This window comes from Homo sapiens, chromosome 22 (assembly GCF_000001405.40).
Source record: "Homo sapiens chromosome 22, GRCh38.p14 Primary Assembly".
Classification (NCBI taxonomy): Eukaryota; Metazoa; Chordata; class Mammalia; order Primates; family Hominidae; genus Homo; species Homo sapiens.
In genome coordinates, this window is record NC_000022.11 from 33,414,020 (window position 1) to 33,434,541 (window position 20,522).

At 45.9% G+C, this 20,522-nt stretch overlaps 1 protein-coding gene across 26 annotated transcripts in view; it reads right to left on the reverse strand.

The window, feature by feature from the left end:
* Window positions 1-20,522, reverse strand: part of LARGE1 (LARGE xylosyl- and glucuronyltransferase 1) — an 856,162-nt gene that overhangs the window by 347,357 nt on the left and 488,283 nt on the right. For all 26 annotated transcript variants that reach the window (XR_007067993.1, XR_002958722.2, XR_007067994.1 and 23 more), the window contains one exon: window positions 18,142-18,246. Coding sequence is in view for 23 of the 26 variants with exons in the window: in XM_024452302.2 (XP_024308070.1) it covers window positions 18,142-18,246 (105 nt within the window). In the remaining 3 variants the exon portion in view is untranslated. The remainder of the gene's footprint in view (window positions 1-18,141; window positions 18,247-20,522) is intronic.

The following is a 20,522-nucleotide window of genomic DNA, read 5'->3' on the forward strand; positions in this document are numbered from 1 at the left end:
TTGAGACTCTGATCTCAATTCTTTTGGATATATACCCAGGAGTGGGATTGCTGGATCATATGGTAATTCTATTTTTAATTTTTGGAGGAACCGCCATACTGTTTTCCATAGTGGCCGCATCATTCTATAATACATTCCCAAAAACAGTGTTTAAAGGGTTCCATTACGCCAAGTGAAATAAGCCATTCACAGAAGTACATAATACTGCATGATTCTGCTCATATGAGATATTTAAAATGGTCAAACTAATAGAGGCAAAGAATAGAATCATGATTGCCAGGGACTAGGGGAAGGGAGAAATGAATTATTTCTTAATAGGTAAAAGTTTCTGTTATATGAAATATAACAGAAAATATAACTGGAAATCTGCTATAGTTAACAATAACAACAACAATAAAAGGGTGTGTGCCATAGGCCTTGGGGAGAAAAGGTTGAGGGCTGCAGATACAATGAGAAATGGCTAAAGATAAGCTGAGAGCAAGTGGGTAGGACGTAGCTAACAAAGGGGTTGACTAGGATTGGCAACTCATGTTCAGATGCTAAGAAAATGCAGCTGCTGATAATGTCATAGCTCTATGGCATCTGTAGCCTTTTATCTTATCAACAAGATCATGAGGGATATTGCTTCCGTTTCCAGGCATGTGCTCTGGTCTAAGTGTCTGTGTCCCCTCAAAATCCATATGTTGAAATCCTAATCTCCAAGAGGATGGTATTGGGGAGTTGGAGTCTTTGTGAGGTGACTAGGTCATGAGTGTGCAGTCCTCAAGAATGGGATTTGTGCCCTTATAAAAGAGACCCCAGAGAGCTAGCTCATCCCTTTCACCATGTGAAGGCACAGTTAGAAGGTGTCATCTATGAATCAGAAAGTGACTCCTCAGCAGACACCAAATCTACCTTGATCTTGGACTTCCCAGCCTCCAGAACTGTGAGAAATACATTTATGTTGTTTATAAGCCACCTGGTTAATGTTATTTTGTTATAGCAGCCAGAATGGACTAAGACAGTGTTATTTTTTTCGATTCAAACAAGAGGATCCTGGGGTGTGGAGAGGTGGCTTGAGTATCTTCAGGTCAGGATGCATGAGCAATAAAGGGCAAGTCAGGAGGAGCACCCAGCACCCTGCAGCCCAGCTGCACAAAGGCAGATGCTCCAGTTCACAGACAACTGCAGGGGAGGCCCAGCTCAGGTGGAGGCGTTGTTTTGTTTTTGCTTTATTTTCCTTCTAATCAGCATGCAGTAGCTCTGTGATGTAATTAGCAAAGAGAGAGGAAAACCATGGAGTGGTGTTGCCAGAGCTAACCTGGAAATAGAATCATTTATAAGAAAAATAGCTCAGGAGAAAAAGTCTCAGAGTGAGAGAAGCTGGGGAAACAGATTTCTTGCACTTCAGGCCAGATCCTGGAAGCCTTACATTGCATACATATTCTCTCCTGTGAGGGCTGGTGCTCCAGGAAGGGAGGAAGCAATGGTAGAGCAACTCTTCTAGAACAGTGGCTTTTGCTCAGGAAGGCAAGCGATGGGAAATCTTGCCATCTTTTCAGGATGCAGCTGGGAAAACTCTCTAGCTGCTCAGTTTAATTAGAGCCCCCACCAAGTCTCATAGGAGGGGGCTCTCGCTTGGCTGCCTTGCTAGGGTACTGCAGAGAATGTAGCAAGGCTGAAGGCACTGCGATGACTTTAGTGCCCTGGGCCTGTGGATGGGAGCTTCTGCATATGTTTCAACAGGCTGCAGCCACAGCCCTGAGAGATGAACACTTGGCTCAGGGTCAAGACATAAATGGAGACAATCAAGAGGGAAGAGGATGGTGGGTGAGGGCGGTTTCTCCTGAGGGCCAGGCGGGAAACTGTATTGTTTAAGAACCTTCCAGCTTGCTGGATAAGGCTGAACTGCCTGGTTACCGTTCAGACCTTAGACCTCCCTGATTCCCAGCCTCGACATGACAGGAGCCTCTTGTCCCATACTCCCTGTGGCTGCACCACGAATCTTAGCTATCACTTGCTGAGCATTTACTTTGTGCCAGCTATTTCCCATTCATGCCATTTTTTCTGCCAATCTCGTGAGTCTACACTGATGCTCCCATCTTCTAGGTGAGGAAAGTCAGACCATAAAAACCCAAAATGTGACAAAGGGATTTGCCCAAGACCATTCAGCTAGTCAAGGGTGAGACAGAGCTTGAGCTCCTCCCTGCTCCTCCTACATTGGGCACATACCCTACAAGCTGCACCTTCAGTGAAACTAAAAACCACCGTGTGTGCTGCTCTGGCCATCCCAAGTATTTTCACACCTTCCAACCTGGGCTGGGGGCTTGCTGCTCTGTTGAACAGCAAGCTCTGCAAAGTCCATGCCACCATCCCCCACTTCCAGTTCTACCCACTTTGAAGCTTTTCTCCACCCACCCGTGCAGGCCTCCACTCTAGCTCTCGGAATTGTGTACAGACTCCTCCATCATAGTGCAGGCCACATTGCATTTCACTGTCCTTAATCTTCTGATTTTTGGCTCTATGTGGGTCATCTAGTGTTTTGTGTGTTTTTTTTGGGGGGCGGGGGAGGCAATGGTGGTGCAAGTAGACACCCATTTTCTTTTTTACTTTCTTTTTTTTTGAGACGGAGTCTCGCATTGTCGCCCAGCCTGGAGTACAAAGGTGCGATCTCGGCTCACTGCAACCTCCAACTCCTGGGTTCAGGCGATTTTCTTACCTCAGCTTCTAGAGTAGCTGGGATTACAGGCACCCGCCACCAGCCCGGCTAATTTTTTGTATTTTTAGTAGAGATGGGGTTTCACTATGTTGGTCAGGCTGGTCTTGAACTCCTGACCTTGTGATCTGCTACCAAGGCCTTGGCCTCCCAAAGTGCTGGGATTACAGGTGTGAGGCACCACGCCCGGACTTTTTTTTTTTTTTTTTTTGAGACAGAGTCTCGCTGTGTCACCAGGCTGGAGTGCAGTGGTGTGATCTCAGCTCACTGCAACCTCCGCCTCCCGGGTTCAAGCGATTCTCCTGCTTCAGCCTCCCGAGTAGCTGGGACTACAGGCGTGTGTCACCACGCCCAGCTAATTTTTGTATTTTTACTAGAGATGGGGTTTCACCATGTTGGCCAGGATGCTCTCTATCTCTTGACCTCGTGATCCGCCTGCCTCGGCCTCCCAAAATGCTGGGATTACAGGCGTGAGCCACCGTGCCCAGCCTTTCTTTTTAATTTCTACTCCTAATGCCAATCATGATTCCAGGCACCTAGTATCTGCTGGACAACTGCCTACTAAATGGGCAGCCGGCAGGACCTAGGAATATGGAATGTTTCCCACCAGTGGCTTTTCAAGCCCCTTCTCCATTTCTAATCACCAGTGTGTTCCCTGCCCTCTGGGGAGAAATGCAGGTGGGAGTGTAGAATTCATTTACTCAGTCAACAAATATTTATTGAGAGCTTTTCACACACCAGATAGGGACATAGGAACAAAGAAAACAAGATCTTACTCTCATGGAACTTTCATTCTTGTGGGAAGGACAGGGATATTAGCTTTCTATTGCAGCCATAACAAAATACTTTGGCCACTTAAAATCCACACCCTTATTATTTCACAGTTAAGTAGGTGAGAAATCTTGGGGGCTCAGGTGGGTCTTCTGATTAGAGTCTTGCAAGACCAAAGTCAAGGTGCAGCCATCCAGGGCTCTTGCCCGGGGCTCTCGGGGAGAAACCACTTCTAAGCTCATCCAGGTTGTTGGCAGAATTCAGTTCTATGTAGGACGGAGGTCCCCACGCCCTTTCTCAATCAAATGGGAGCCACTCTCAGCATCTAACGACCATCTGCAACTCCTTGTCCTATTGTTTCCTCCATTTCAAACCAGCAATGGCAGGTTGAGTCCTTCTCCTACTTCAAGTTTCTGTGACTTCCCCTTTGACTCTATCTCTTCTACATCTAGGTGGAGGAAATTCTCTGCTCTTTTTTTTGAGACAGAGTCTCGCTCTGTCGCCCAGGCTGGAGTGCACTGGCACAATCTCAGCTCACTGCAACCTCCACCTCCCGGGTTCAAGCAATTCTCCTGCCTCAGCCTCTCAAGTAGCTGGGACTACAGGCATGTGCCACCATGCCTGGCTAATTGTTTGTATTTTTAGTAGAGACGAGGTTTCACCGTGTTAGCCAGGATGGTCTCAATCTCCTGACCTTGTGATCCACCCGCCTCGGCCTCCCAAAGTGCTGGGATTACAGTCGTGAGCCACTGCAGCCGGCCAGAAATTCTCTGCTTTTACAGGCTCATGTGATTAGAATGGGCCCACCAGATAATCCAAGATAAACTCCCTATGTTGAAGCCCATAATTATAGCTGCAAAGTCTCTTTTGCCATGGGACATAACATATCCACAGGTTCCAGGGCTTAGAGCCTGGATACTAGGATGGGGGTGGGGGATTCTGCCTACTGTGATGGACAGCAGTCAAATAATCAAAAACATATTTTATAACATGGATGGAAAGTGCAAAGAAGAAATATAAATCAGAGTAAAGGGATGGAGACTGCCGCTTTGAATAGGATGGCTAGGGAAGCCCACTCTGAGGAGATGACACCTGATCCAAGGACTGAGGAAGTAATGGGATAAGCCAGAGAGCTGCTAGCAGAAGAGCGGTCCAGGCAAAGAGCTCAGATTGCAGGGGTGAGAATGTGCCTGGGCAACAGCCAGGGGGCCAGAGTGGCTGGAGGGAGGCGGCTGGAGTGAGCAGGGAAGAGGAGGGGCTGTGGATACGGACAACTGGACAAAGCCAGCCCAGGCCGGCTCCCATCCTATGAGGCTGAATTTTGCCATTATTCACTCTGTGCTAGTGGTGATCTTCAGGAACCTTGGGGCACAGGCAGGTCAACAGGACCACATCATGGTTCCAAAGTGTGTTAGTACGAGTCAGAGAGTCCAGAGGGCATGGAGGGAAGAAAGCGAGGGCACTTGGGGTCTGAACACCTGAAGAATCCCATTGTATTAGTCCATCCTCACCCTGCTATAAAGACATTCCCGAGACTGGGTAATTTATGAAGAAAAGAGGTTTAATTGACTCGCAGTTCCGCATGGCTGGGGAGGCCTCAGGAAACTTACAATCATGGTGGAAAGGGAAGCAGGCACGTCTTACATGGTGGCAGGCAAGAGAGAAGTCCAGTTGCAAGCACAGGAAAAATCGCCACCTTAAAAAACCTCAGATCTCAGGAGAACTCACTATCACAAGTACAGCATAGGGGAACCACCCCCATAATGCAATTGCCTCCCATCAGGTTCCTCCTTTGACACATGGGGATTACAATTCAAGATGAGATCTGGGTGGAGACACAGGGCCTGACCATATCAACCACTCATGCATTACTAGATAAAGGTGACAAGAGCAGAGGGTGCAGTGCCAGGAATGATGAGGGCCATGATCATGAGAGGGAAACACGATCACCCAAGTACACGCCTGCTTGGTGGCCTTTGCACGTGCCGTCCTCTCTATCTGGGATGCTCATTCCAGCTCTCAGCATGGCTGCCGCCTTTCCATCCTTCAGGTCTTAGCTCAAATGTCGTCTTCTCAGAGACTCTACCCAAAGAAACGGTCCTTTCTAGAAGAATCCAATTCCCTCAAAACTTGCTTTTCTGTTAGGGTTCCACTAGTGGTATTTGTGGCCAGATGAATCTTTGTTTTTGTTGTTGTTGTTGTTGTTTTTTGTTTGTTTGTTTTGAGATGGAGTCTCGCTCTATTGCCCAGGCTGAAGTGTAGTGGCACGATCTCAGCTCACTGCAGCCTCTGCCTCCTGGGTCCGAGCGATTCTCGTGCCTCAGCCTCCCAAATAGCTGGGATTACAGGCGCCTACCACCATCACACCCAGCTAATTTTTGTGTTTATAGTAGAGGTGGGGTTTCACCATGTTGGCCAGGCTGGTCTCGAACTCCTGACCTCAAGTGATCCACTCACTTTGGCCTCCCAAAGTGCTGAGATTATAGGCATGAGCCACTGCACCTGACCCAGATGAATCTTTGTTATGGGGGGACTGTCTGGTGTACTAGTGGCATCCCTGGCCTCTACCCACTAAGTGCCCGTAGAACCTCCTGGCTGTGACAAGAAAAATGTCTCCAGACATTGCCGGTGTCCCATGGGTTGTAAAATTTCCCACGAGCAACCATGAGAAATGCTGCTCTATATCACTGTCTTCGAAACACTTATCTTCCAAAATTATTTATTTTATTCAACAACAAATACTTAGTGCCTAATACAGGCCAGGCATGATTCCAGGTATGGGGGATAAAGCAGTGAAATTCAGATGAGATTGGGTGCATTCAGGGTGGTATGGCCATAGACAGCAGTGAAATTGACAGAAAAAAATTACTACCTTTGAGGAACTTATATCCTCATGGAAAGACACAGGGAAATTAAAAGAAAATGAACCAAACTGTAGTTGGTCAGATGGTACTTAAAAGTGCTGGAGGAGAATAAGGTGGAAAACGGAATAGCATGGAGGCTGTAGTTTGGAGGCAGAGAGGCTCACATTTAAATAGGTGTGTTCAAAGAGCAGCAAGGAAGCCAGAGTGGCTGGAGTGGAGCGAGTGTGGGGAACACTTCCAGGAAACGACATCAAAAAAGCACAAGAAGGAAGACAGTTTCTCCCCCACAATAACCAGTAACCTCCCTGTAAACAGGGTTCCCATTTGTCTTGTTCACTGTGGCACCCCAGGGCCTACAGAGAAGCTTGGCACATTGCATGTGCTAGATGCATGTTTAATTTCTGTCCAACAAATGAATGAACACGTGGATGGTCAGCCCTGGGAGAATGCTCAGCTCCAAATACCTTACCTGGGCAAAAGACGGAGTTACTGTCAAAAGACACAGACGTAATCCTCTTTCCCCATTTACGTACTTCGAGTATTAAAGGAAAAGGAAGGCTGGGCGCGGTGGCTCATGCCTGTAATCTCAGCAGTTTGGGAGGCCGAGGGGGGTGAATCACCTGAGGTCAGGAGTTCGAGACCAGCCCGGCCAACATGGTGAAACCCCATCTCTACCAAAAATACAAAAAATTAGCCAGGTGTGGTGATGCATGCCTGTAGTCCCAGGTACTTGGGAGGCTGAGGTAGGAAAGTTGCTTGAACCCAGGAGGTGGAGGTTGCAGTGAGCAGAGATCACGCCACTGCACTCCAGCCTTGGGCGACAGAGTGAGCCTCTGTTTCAAAAAATAAAAAATAAAATAAAATCAATCAATCAATCAATCAATCAATCAATCAATAAAGGAGTGGGAAAATACTAATATCTAACATTTATTGACCCAGACACTGTCCCATGCACTTTGAAAACATTAACTCCTTTTCTCCTGAAGGCATCTGTGTGAAATATGAATTCTTTTTATCCTGAAATGAAAAAGTTGTTCATTCCCCAGAATAAGGGAGCTAGTAACAGGTGGAGGTGGGACTTGGACCAAAGACTGTTCAACTCCAGAATACAAGCAATACAGTCTCTTAATAGCAAAAATAAAATATGAGCTATAGGATCCCAGGTTGACCAATAAGGCAAGAGGCCAGACATACTGCAGGCCCTCCGTCTGCCTCTTAAAAAACAAGGTAACTATGCCTACATTTACTGAGCATTTACTATGTGCTAAACCTTGTCTCATCACATTAAATGTACTCTATTATCTCATTTACTTTTCAGAACAATCCTTTCTATGGTACTTACTATAACCATCCTCAACTCACATATGAGTGAACTGGTGCTCAGAGACTAAGTGACATATAGGAATTCCTGAGGAAACCAGGGTGCCAGGACTACAGAAGGCAAGATGAGAAGGCATTGTCTGCTTTCTTTCAGTTAGATTTCTGGGGGTAAGCAGGTGGAAGAGGGAGTAGGTTTATTCTCTGTGAATCCAGGAGGCAGACCTGAGGCCAAAGAAGATTCTGGATCAGGATACAAAGTGAATAAGCTTTGGTTGGGTCACTGAATTTGGATAAAGGTTAAGTGGAGAGAAGTAGCCCATGGCAGTACTGCCAAGCAGGCTTTCAGCTGGCCGACTACTCTCTGTGAGCAAGGAGCATTATCTTACTCATTGCTGCCAACCCCAGGAAGGATTTTAAACACAGCACAGCTTTGCATCCAGCCAGCCTGTTGAACACTGGCAACACCTCCAACCTTCGACTTTCAAAGCAGGCAGTGCTCCTTCCCAGGAGTGTCCAGCACAATGAAAAATGCACCCACATAACATGTGGGTACCACAGGCCGTTCATGTTTATAATTACACATAATTGTTAAGTATCTGTGTTAGTCTGTTCTCGTGTTGCTACAGGGAAATACCCAAGACTGGGTAATTTATAAAGAAAAGTCATTTCATTGGCTCACGGTTCTGCAGGCTTTACAAGAAGTATGGTGCTGGCATCTGCTCAGCTTCTGGGGAGGCCTCAGGAAGCTTCCAATCATGGCAGAAGGCAAAGGGGGAGCAGGTACCTCACATGGCCAGAGCAGGAGCAGGAGACAGAGAACGAGCTTGGAAGTGCTACACACTTTTTTTTTTTTTTTTTGAGATGGAATCTTGCTCTGTTACCCAGGCTGGAGTACAATGGCATGATCTCCGCTCACTGCAACCTCCAACTCCTTGGTTTAAGAGATTGTACTGCCTCCACCTTCCGAGTGGTTGGGATCACAGGTGCATGCCACCACGCCTGGCTAATTTTTTGTATCTTTAGTAGAGATGGGGTTTCACCATGTTGGCCAGGCTGGTCTCGAACTCCTGACCTCATGATCCTCTGCGCCCGGCCATACACACTTTTAAACAACCAGATCTCATGAGAACTCACTCACTATCATGAGAACGGCACCAAGGTGATGGTGCTAAACCATTCATGAGAAATCCACCCCCATGATCCAATCACTTCCCACCAGGCCCCACCTAAACACTGGGGATTACAATTCAACATGAGATTTGGGCAGGGAAACAGATCCAAACCCTATCAATATTTGAGCCTGGAACTAACACTACTTACGGGATATTTTTTAAAACCATTTTTTTTTTTTTGCATGGTTTGAATAGTCACTGAACTTGGAGAACAAGTCAAGCGAAGATGGTACTTCCTGTTATCTGATACTTTACCAAGAGTTGTTCACTACTTTGGAAAAATGTACCACAAATTTGGCAAACCCCACTCATGAAATGCCGAGTGCTGGTAATGTATCAGTACCATTCAGCACTCGTAGGCGTCACAGTGAAGACAGTTCTATCCCAAATACAGGCACAGAAGCATCTGACCACTTTATTAGGTCATTTACTATAGCCAAACCTGACCATTACACGTTGAAGTAAATATTATTTTATAATAATTTTATTTTATTTACTCTTTATATTAAAGCCAGGGCACTATATTAATTTTCTTTAAAAAAATTATAATTATGGCTGGGCACGGTGGCTCACGCCTGTAATCCCAGCACTTTGGGAGGCTGAGGTGGGCGGATCACTTGAGGTCAGGAGTATGAGACCAGCCTGGCCAACACAGTGAAACCCCGTCTCTATTAAAAAAAATACATAAATTAGCTGGGCATGGTGGTGTGCGCCTGTAATCCCAGCTACTCAGGAGGCTGAGGCGCGGGAATGGCTTGAACCCCGGAGACGAAGGTTGCAGTGAGCAGAGATTGCACCACTGCCCTCCAGCCTGGGCTCTGCTGTGAGATTCTGTCTCAAAAAAAAAAAAAAAAAATTACACTTGTAGGCAATATAATATAGATGTAATCCTTGAATTTCATTCCAGGATTATAAAAGAGGCATTCAAAACATTTGTTACAAATATGGGGCAAGGACACTGGGTGAAGGAACAGAAGGCATTTTTAGTATTTTTGTGGATACCCTAATATGAAATCTAATAAAATGATGAAAAGAATGGTCCAAAGAAGATAAAACTCACTAGACCAATATAAAATCTGTACTTTAGACTCAATAAGGCTACTACAGAAGTACAGAAAGGGGAGCATTTGGCTGAAAAGTCATTCATGGAGCTTCTCAGTTGAACTCAAGTTCAATTTGAGCTAGAAGTGCAATGTGGCAGTAAAAGTACATCATCAGAGGCCTAGGTACTGGTTCTCAAACTTAAGTAACCATCGGAATCAAGTAGGGAGCATGTTTAAAAGAACAGTCACCCAGCCTCATCTCTAGACATTGAGATTCACTTTCTCTGGGGGCAGGGCCCTGAGGTTGACATTTTAAACAGGAATTTTAAGTGATTCAGAACAGTGAGCGGAAGTTTACAGGTGGAGGTGTGAACCTTCAATTGTTGGATAATGGCCACTGCATATCATTCAGGTCAGAGTGTCACTTCCAAAGAGAAAAAGTGGAGCTATCTAAAGGTGGTCAACCAATCAGGATTGGAAAAGGTGTAGAAGCCATCTCTCACAGAATTCCTACCTATGGACAGAAGGTTTTGGAAGGATGCTCGCTTCAGTTATGCAATGACACACAGCAGAGTGATTAAGCAGGTGCAATGATATGGTACCTGCAATGGACTGAATGTCATATCTCCCCCAAATTCACACATTAAAGTCCTAAACCCGTCCAGGCATAGTGGCTCACACCTGTAATCCTAGCACTTTGGGAAGCAGAGGTGGGAGGATTGCTTGAGCTCAGGATTCGAGACCAGCCTGAGCAACAAAGTGAGACCCTGTCTATATAAAAAATAAGAAAATGAGCCTAGGGTGGGGGTGCACAGCTGTAGTCCAAGCTACTCTGGAGGCTGAGGTGAGAGGATCGCTTGAGCCTGCAAGGTCTGCTTGAGCCTAGGAGGTCGAGGCTGCAGCGAGCTGTGTCTGCGCCACTGTACTCCAGCCTGACTGACAGAGCAAGACCCTATCTCAAAAAATAAAATAAAATACTTTAAAATCCTAATTCCTAATGAGACAGTATTAGAAGGTGGGGCCTTTGGGAAGTAATTAGGGTCATGAAGGTAGGGACTTCATTAATGTGATTAATGACCTTGTAAGAAGAGACACAAGGCTGGGCGCGGCAGCTCACGCCTGTAATCCCAGCACTTTGGGAGGTGGAAACGGGTGGATCATGAGGTTAGGAGTTCAAGACCAGCCTGATCAACGTGGTGAAACCTCACCTCCACTAAAAATACAAAAATTAGCCAGGTGTGGTGGCGTGTGCCTGTAATCCCAGCTACTCAGGAGGCTGAGGCAGGAGAATCGCTTGAACCCGGGAGGTGGAGGTTGCAGTGAGCCGAGATATTGCCATTGCACTTCAGCCTGGGTGACAGAGCAAGACTCTGTCTCAAAAAAACAAAAACAAAAAAAGAGGATATACAGACAGAATATTTTCTTTCCCTGCTCTCTGCCATGTCAGGATACAATGAGAAGGTGTCCATGTGCAAACAAGAAAGTAAGTCCTCACCACACACTAGAATGGCTGGGTACCTTGATCTTAGACTTCCCAGGCTCCAGAACTGTGAGAAATGTTTGTAGTTAAGCCACCCAGTCTATGGGACATCTGTTATAGCACCTAAGACAGTGTCTACATCCTTGCAGCAGAAAGATGAATGAGAACCTACAGTACAAAAGAAAGTAGGGAGTAGACATTTCTATTGAGCACGATGTCAGAAGAACTGTTCTTAGAATAGCACACATCTTTCAGTGGGATTATTCTACAGACTCCATCTACAGGCAGTTTGTCCCTAATTTATTTCCGTAGCTCTAGGATCAAGTAAAACTGGGAAATGCTTCTGGGTGTAATAGCTTTCTTTACTTCCAGACTTTATAAGATCTCTAACATGCACATATGAATCTCCAAAGGGCAGACACAGTATGCAGGCACGATCTCGGCTCACTGCAACCTCCGCCTTCTAGGTTCAAGCGATTCTCTTGCCTCAGCCTCCTGAGTAGCTGGGACTACAGGCACGTGCCACCATGACCGGCTAATTTATTTATTTATTTTGTATTTTTAGTAGAGACAGGGTTTCACCATGTTAGCCAGGATGGTCTCGATTTCCTGACCTTGTGATCCACCCGCTTCGGCCTCCTAAAGTGCTGGGATTACAGGTGTGAGCCACCGCACCTGGCCTCTGTTCACAATTTCTAAACACATATTCACATCCCTTGCAGTGACCTCTGGAATTAGTCTAGAAAACGCTAGTCTAGGGGTTATTACTGCAGGGCTGATGATCAATTCTGGATCTCAATCATGGAAGAGGCTCAAGTCATATTAACTTTATTTGCAGATATGCAAACGCTTCTCTATTAGACGATAAACTTTTTGAAGGAAGGTTCTTGGTATCACCCATTTAAAAAACAAAACAAAACAGTTTTCTACCCTACCCTTGCCAGTATTATAGGTATTCAGTAGCATGTAATGAATGAATAAATTGTATTTAAATATAGCTTCTCTGGATGCAATTATTACAGACAGAAATCACCCAATCACAGTATTCTTTCAGAACACGAAGAGATCTTAGTTCCTGACATCAGAGACAATTAAGATGCAGAGAAATGAAGGGACTTAGCCAGGGTCCCAGAATGCTGGATGTCAGAGGCAGAGGTAAGTTGAGCCTAGATTGCATATTTCTATTTATCCCACTAAAGCTATTTAACAGTTCTTTGGCAAACTATCAAATGTTTTCTCCTTTTGAATCTCTGCCACAGAATTTTCCATGGTATCTGACTGTACTGCCCATTGCCTTCCACGGTTTGCTCTAACCTCAGAGGTGAGCCAGTCCTTGAGCATTCCAATTTTGTTGTCCTGCAGAGAAGGATTCCGAGAGAAATTCTTCCTCCCTCCCTAAACAGCCAGGTCTCCATCTGCCTGTCTCTGCCCTAATTTGGGGGCTGAATGAAACACGATACATTTTATTTTTAAATTGTTTTAAAAAGCACATTCTCTGGCTAGTGTTACACCCTTCAACTTGGGGAGGACGCACCTTGTGCTTGAGTCGCCTTTGGGGTCCCATGCAAATAAACCTATCTGCAAACATGCCATCTTCTTTCTACCGACCTGCCTTCCCTCACCTCATTCTCCAATCCCCTGCTATGTTTAGCCCTCCTTCCCCTTTTCTTTGCTGTTGTTTGTTTTTAAGATATTCATCCGTCAGCTTAGGAACTGAAGAGAGCTGAATCTTAATGAGCCTGTCAAAATCCTAGGTGTATTTTTGTTGTTGTTTTCTAAGTCCTGCTCACAGCTGAATGCTGGGTGAATGACAGCTTCTTGCATCTAGGAGATGATGCCTGGGCAGAGCGGTTGGAAACTGACCCGTTTCTGTGCAAGACTGTGAAAGACGCCTGTAATTTCACCCGAACAGTTATGGGCAAGAGCTTCATGCTAGGATCTGCCTGGTTATCCATCCGAAGCTGCGGTGGCTCAGTAGCTTCTGGAATTAAGTTGGGAACAGCTCTAGTAAAAAGGGAAGGAGATGAATGGGAGATGGTGGAAAGATCTTCTCTAATGTTTTGTGGCCATGTAGGCTTTGGAAAAGCAGACTGGGAAAGAAAAGCAAACAAAGAGAACGGGGGAAACTGACTGACTCTTGTAGGGGGAAAAGTCTAGTTTATAAGATAATTCAAGGAATTAACAAAGCCCATGCACGCTATGGTGCCTGGTATGATGCCTGGTGGGATGAGTCAATGAATGAATGTGTAGTGAAGAGGCTGTGTTTGATGTCTGCGGTTGAATCTGAATTAGCTGAAAAGAGTTATTCAGTTGGGCTATGGTTAGGGGGATAAATAAAAATCACAACCAACTTGCTAAAGTACTTTGGTTTACCCCAGGCACACGTGGCTGCGCCACCACAACAGAGCCTCCGAGTGGGTTCTGAGGTCCCCAGTTCATAAATGAGAAGCCCAAGGCTCCCTGAGCTTGGGTAAGCTTTCCAAAAGGCACAGAACTCAAAAGCAACAACGCCAGGTCTTGAAGGCAGAGCTTCCAACACAAACATCTCATATGCTTTTCTGGGGATTTTCAAAGTAAAACACAGCGAGGAAGCTGATATGCGAACTAAATAGTCATTTTTTTTCCTAATGTGATATAAAAAGCTAACCTTTTCAGATAGTAAAGAGATACAGGAAAAACTGCTAGGTAGCTGGATTACACCTGGGGAAAGTAAAATACTTACTCGTTCTTTCTGACCAAAGGGCTTGGGAGACCTTAGCAAACCCCAGTCAATCACATAACCTCCTTTTTCCAGTCGGTAAATCTCATTCCCTGATAGAGCAAGTGGCAGAAAAATGCAAGAGGAGAAAGACCAAGATTTACTAAGTACTTACTTTGTGCCCTGGATCAGGCTAGGCTCATTAAACAAGTTACAACATTAATTGCTAATCCTCACATACTAGGTTTGTTATGTCTTTTTTTTTTTTTTTTGAGACAGAGTCTCAGTCTGTCGCCCAGCTGGAGTGCAGTGGCATGATCTCGGCTCACTGCAACCTCCACCTCCTGGGTTAAGCAATTCTCTGCCTCAGCCTCCCGAGTAGCTGGGATTACAGGCACACACCACCATGCCCAGCTAATTTTTTGTATTTTTAGTAGAGATGGGGTTTCACCATCTTGGCCAGGCTGGTCTTCAACTCCTGACCTCGTGATCCACCCACCTCGGCCTCCCAAAGTGCTGAGATTACAGGCGTGAGCCACCGTGCCTGGCCTTGTCCTATCTTAAAAAAGAGAGAGAACTGCTGGGCACGGTGGCTCATGCCTGTAATCCCAGCACTTTGGGAGGCTGAGGCGGGTGGATCATGAGGTCAGGAGATCGAGACCATTCTGGCTAACGTGGTGAAACCCCGTCACTACTAAAAAAAAAAAAAAAAAAAAAATTAGCCGGGCGTGGTGGTGGGCGCCTGTAGTCCCAGCTATTCGGGAGGCTGAGGCAGGAGAATGGCGTGAACCCGGGAGGCAGAGCTTGCAGTGAGCCGAGATTGCGCCACTGCACTCCAGCCTGGGCGAAAGAGCGAGACTCTGTCTCAAAAAAAAAGAAACAAAAAAAAAAAAAAAAAAGGAGAGAACTGAGGTTCAAGGAGTGAAGTGACTTGGCCAAGTTGCATAAGAAGACTAAATGACTGTACTGCAGCTCTAACCCAGATCTGCCTGAGTTCCTAACATCAAGCTGAAGGCATAAGACAGGAGGTTCTGCTGGAGATATTCTTTTTGGAGGCTTCAGATGTGCTGGGATTTAGGGTGGCAGGTTCTCTCCAGGGTCGTCCTCAGTTTCCATGAGAATCTACATGTCTGGATGACTCATTCACTGGGTGGCACAATCCTTGGTTTTAAAGCGACACATCCCCTTCGTGAAAGCCATTTTTTTGCATTTTGATGTTGCCTAAGTCCTTTCATAATAATCACTCAGTGTCACTGGCTTATTTAAATGGACACATCACTTCAACAGGGCTTTCCCTCTTCTGCTCTGCCCTTTCAGTACCAGCGAGGAGGGAAGTAACTCACTGCTTTGACAAATCAAGCGGGAACTGGAGGTGGTTTACGTGCTCCTGTGTCTCCTGATGCTACATTCTATAGCAAATAGGGAAGGGCAGGAAGAGACATGCCATTTTGGTTGTAATAAATTCCCTAGTGTGCTACATTCTTCTTCTCTCTGCAAACCCGGATTGATGACCAGCGGCTTTTGTTTTACGCAGGAAACCGTGATCTTGATGCAGCATCCCTGAGGCACTGCAGTATATTTCTATGTGACATTTTCTATTATATATTTTGGAAGACAGAAACGAAATGTATACACCAGGGTTTTCCTGAGACTTCCTTTCTCCACCCAGAAACATAGGTGTCTCCACCTCCATGAAAGCTTGGAGGGAACGTGTCTGAAAATCCAGGCACAAAAGATCAACACGGGGTGACTAGTCGTTTGCCAGAGGAAAGCACGTGGAACCCCCGTCCCTGGCCCGCTGTGGGTTCATGGAGGGTCCAGTCTCCAATGCACTGAGAAAACAGCGTCTGGGAGAGCTTGCTGGGACAGGAAACAGAGTGCCATGTTTAATCAGAGCAGGCCCTTGGACATTCTGCCCCAGAAACATCCTAGAGGCTTCCTATAGGACAGAATCCCAGTCTCCTGCACAGACCTAGTCAATCAGACTCTTGAAGGGCAGAGCCCAGAATTCTCCATTGTTGAAAAGTGTTTAATCCTGAAGCCATTAAAGTTCAAGCAAGGCAGGTTGGTAGTTAACACCACAGGCTCCTTGACTTTTCAGGGTTGCAGCCTTCGATGCTCCAATCTTCAGTTTCCTCTGGTATAGACTAGTTTCTTCTGGTATAGGCATGGCACCTGCCTCATAGGATGAGTGTGAGGATCAAAGGAGACTGACAACCATAAAGCACCTAACATGGTGCCTGGCTAATACTCAGCTGATACGTAGAGGCCCTGCCTTACCCATTATTGAAAAGAGTGAAATACCTCCTGACCTGCTAAGAGAACCACTGCTCTGATGCCCTCAGCTGCCTTTCCCCAACCTGGCCCCTCTCAGGAACTCCTCAGACTTCCCCATCATCCAGCAACTAAAGTATTAATGCCCAACACAGCATGGGAGACTCCAGGGTGGGAATCTGGAGTCTGTGAAGGGCTGGTGGTTGACATTCTTCAATCACAACCTCTGTTTGCCTGGTAGGCATTACAGGAAAAAAAAAATTACATAGAGCAAGGCATATCTAATACTCAGGCAAATGTTAGCTAAGGAATGTCCCCGTCTCTTAGGATGGCCGTCAATACAGGGCTCCCTGGCTGCCTGCCACCTCTGGACATTGATGCTGGACTTTCTTTCCTTGTCCTCCTCTAGCTTTGACCCCCACTCTGACCCCATCTGTGAACTCTTACCTCTGGAAGCTTGACTCATGTCCCTTCTCCTTTGTTCTCTGGGACCCTGTGTTTGCATTTGACTTTTCTGGAGTCTGACCATCAGCTCTCAGAATTTGGGACTCTTTTTGGCTGATCCCACTACAGACTGGCCTCAGCCTCCAGGGCAGGCTTCACTTATCACTTTTAGGTGGTACTGTCCCCAGAGCCAGACACCTGTCCCAACCCACTTCATTTGCTGGTCTCAGATGCCAAGTTCCAGCCCTTCTTGGTCTCACCCATCCTACTGTTCCCTGAGTTCCACATTCTAGTCTGACAAAGATCAGGAGTCTGCATCCTTTGAGAATGGGATACCACAGCAGTGGCAATGAGGATGGAGGAGGGAGGCAGAAGGATCCAGAAGCATGTCAAAGATAGACACTGATGGGAATTGAGCCTCAGGAGGAAGAGGCTGCCCTAGTTTCATTGCTTATACACCCCATGAGGTCATGGACTGTGTCTGCTGCAGCTAGCATAGGGCCTCGTACACAGTAAGCATTCAAGGGACAGCTGGTGAACAAGAAGGGTTGATGGATGAATGAAGGACACCAATAACAGAGAAAGAAACTGAAGAGGAGATGCAAGTTTGGGGCTAGTAACGAGGTAGAATAATGGATTTTATTTTAGACACATGGTTATAGGTCTGTGGTCCTCAAAAGTGCTGATTACCAAATATTTCTGCATTTTCTCCTGCCAGGCACATGTGGTCCTCAAAAGTGCTGATTAGCAAATATATCTGCTTTTTCTCCTGCCAGGCACATGGTAGACTGCACTTGCCCACACGCTTTAAAGGGAGGCATGGCCACACAACATGCTTAGTCAATGAAATATGAAATTACGTCACTTCTAAACAAAAACTTTAAGAGATAATACAACTTCTGCTACTTTCCCACCACATACATGGAAGTATGCATGGAGATGAATCCTGAGTACCCACAGTGAACACAGATCCCTGAAGACCTCAAGTGGACGTGGAATGTGATTGGCAAAAGTACATATCCGTTGTGTTAAGAAACTGAAATGGGGTTGTTACTGAAGAATGATATCTGGTCTGTATTAACAGAGCCAGGGAACCTATGGGTCATACTGATAAAGATATCCAATAGGATCTGGATTAGAGGTCAGGAGAGGGGCTTTCTGGTGAGATGCCACAGACTGCCACAGCCCAACGGTTACTCTACCTGTGGGTATAGCACCAAGAAGGAACTGGAATGCAAACTGCCCACAAACCATCCACCACTGAATTCAAGCAATCAGGTGGCCTCCTCCTGAGCTTTTGCAATCTCCTCTCCTGCGGAAGGAGCACTGGGTCCTCATATCACCTTCTGCAACTCTTCCCATACCACCCTGAGGATTTACCTGTGTTGTAGCCTCTTCCAAGGGCTGGCCATGGGCGGTGATTTTTCCACAGGTTTCCAAGGTACCAGTCACTCTGGTTCTCCACCAAGCCCAGGACTTGCTGACCTGTGAGGTACAGAGAATACAAACATCTTAAAAGGAGAAGCCAAGCCATCTGGATCAGTGACTATTGAAGACACAGGGTAATGGCAAATCATCACAACAACAGTATTCACTTACTGAGAGGTTTTATGAAGTGCCAGCCTCTGACCTAACAGCTTAACTTGCATTAACATATTTAATTCTCACCATTAGGCAGTCATTTTTATTATTTCCATTTTATAGAGAAGAAATAGAGGCCCAGAACAGTTAACTGATTTGCTGCAGGTCACCTAGTGAATCTGATAAAGCTAGAATCCCAAATCATTCATTCATTCATTCATTCATTCATTCATTCATGCATGCATGCATGCATTTCTTTCCTAACTCATGGAGCACATATTTATTGACAGGCATACTATTTCTCAAGCATTCCCATTCTGGTATTTCCCACTGTACATTAATTTACTCGTTTTCTGGGAATGGACTGGGATTGGTTTCTCACGACAGGGAGGAGGGATTACCCTTGTTTGCTGAGACGAGAGCCCAAAGAGAAGAGCCACTCTTTGTCCACCTTCTTACAGGGTTTTTGTTCTCACCCTCACTGCTTCCTTTCAAATATATTTATCTTGTGTCAACAAGCATCATGTCAATATCATATCAATACAAGAGTGTTGTCTAGATAACAACTGCTCCTCTGTCCCCAGAGCTGGCGTTGATGTTGGCCTCAGTCTCTGCTGCATCTTAGCAACTTAGGCAAGTTAGCCTTGTGGTCAATCTCTTAGGGCGTACATGTCTCTGGGCCTTCACATCTGATCCACCTGGCTCCTTTAGACAACTCCATCATGCAGAAGGCCTTCTCTTGCAATTATTACCAATACCATTTCACAGCCTAGGAAACAGGCTCACAAAGGACCAGTGACTTGGACAGCTAAAGATGGAGCTAGGATAGACATCTACATTTGTTTGAAACAAAGATTCCTCCCACTGTCTTGATGCACTATTGCTTATCCTTACAAAAACAAATATTTTAGGCAGGAATTATCAATCCACGTTTTGTAGAAAGGGAAATTGAGGGCTGGGTGCGGTGGCTCACACCTGTAATCCCAGCACTTTGGGAGGCCGGGATGGGCGGATCATGAGGTCAGGAGATGGAGACCATCCTGGCTAACACAGTGAAACCCCATCTCTACTAAAAATACAAAAAATTAGCCAGGCGTGGTGGCGGGCACCTGTAGTCCCAGCTACTTGGGAGGCTGAGGCAGGAGAATGGCATGAATCCGGAAGGCGGAGCTTGCAGTGAGCCGAGATCGCACCACTGCACTCCAGTCTGGGTGAGAGAGCAAGACTCCGTCTCAAAAAACAAAACAAAAAAAAAAAAAAAAAAAAAAAGAAAGGGAAATTGAGGTTTAGAGAGTTTAAATAACTTGGAAAAGTCACACACCTAACAATGACTCTCTTCTACAGCTAACCAATACCTTTTGAATTTACACTCTTGTACTGTTGGCCAATTTGAGAAATAAAGACCTTTCTGACCAAATGGAAGCCCATCCGCACTTAAGAAAACACAGTGGTTCTTTTGGAACACTATGCTGGGTGATATAGCATCTCCTTGGTATGATGACAGCTCCCTGAAATGATGGTGTGTGGGTTTGGGGTAATATATTCGATCAATTTTATTAAGCTCCTATCTAAATCATCACCCCGGGCACAAATACATAAATCAGAGGCATGGGAAAAACACTACCACCCACTTTGTCATTGTATATGATGACATCTAAAACTTGTAGAATTCCTCAGAAAAACATAACACCAATTCAGGGAGTATAAGAGTCAATCAATCCCATGTGCAACAAGCTTAGGACATTTGTGCAGAACAATTAGATCTGAAAGGCAGGGTGCCCTTAGTTGGGAAAGCTGTGTGTCCTGTCCTGATGCTATGACCCAGCTAGAGACCTCATTTAATAACCTCACAATGAGGATGGGAAGTGTCATTGTTGGGGGAGAGGGGTGATACCTAATTATTAAGATAATTACTAAGGCCCCAGGTGGGTATCCCAAGGGTCTTTTGTTTTGTTTTTGAGACGTAGTCTCGCTCTGTTGCCAGGCTGGAGTGCAGTGGCGCAATCTGGGCTCACTGCAACCTCCGCCTCCCGGGTTCAAGTAACTCCCCTGCCTCAGCCTCCCGAGTAGCTGGGACTACAGGCACACACCACCACACCCAGTTAATTTTGTGTATTTTAGTAGAGACGGGGTTTCACCGTGTTGGCCAGGATGGTCTCGATCTCCTGACCTTGTGATCC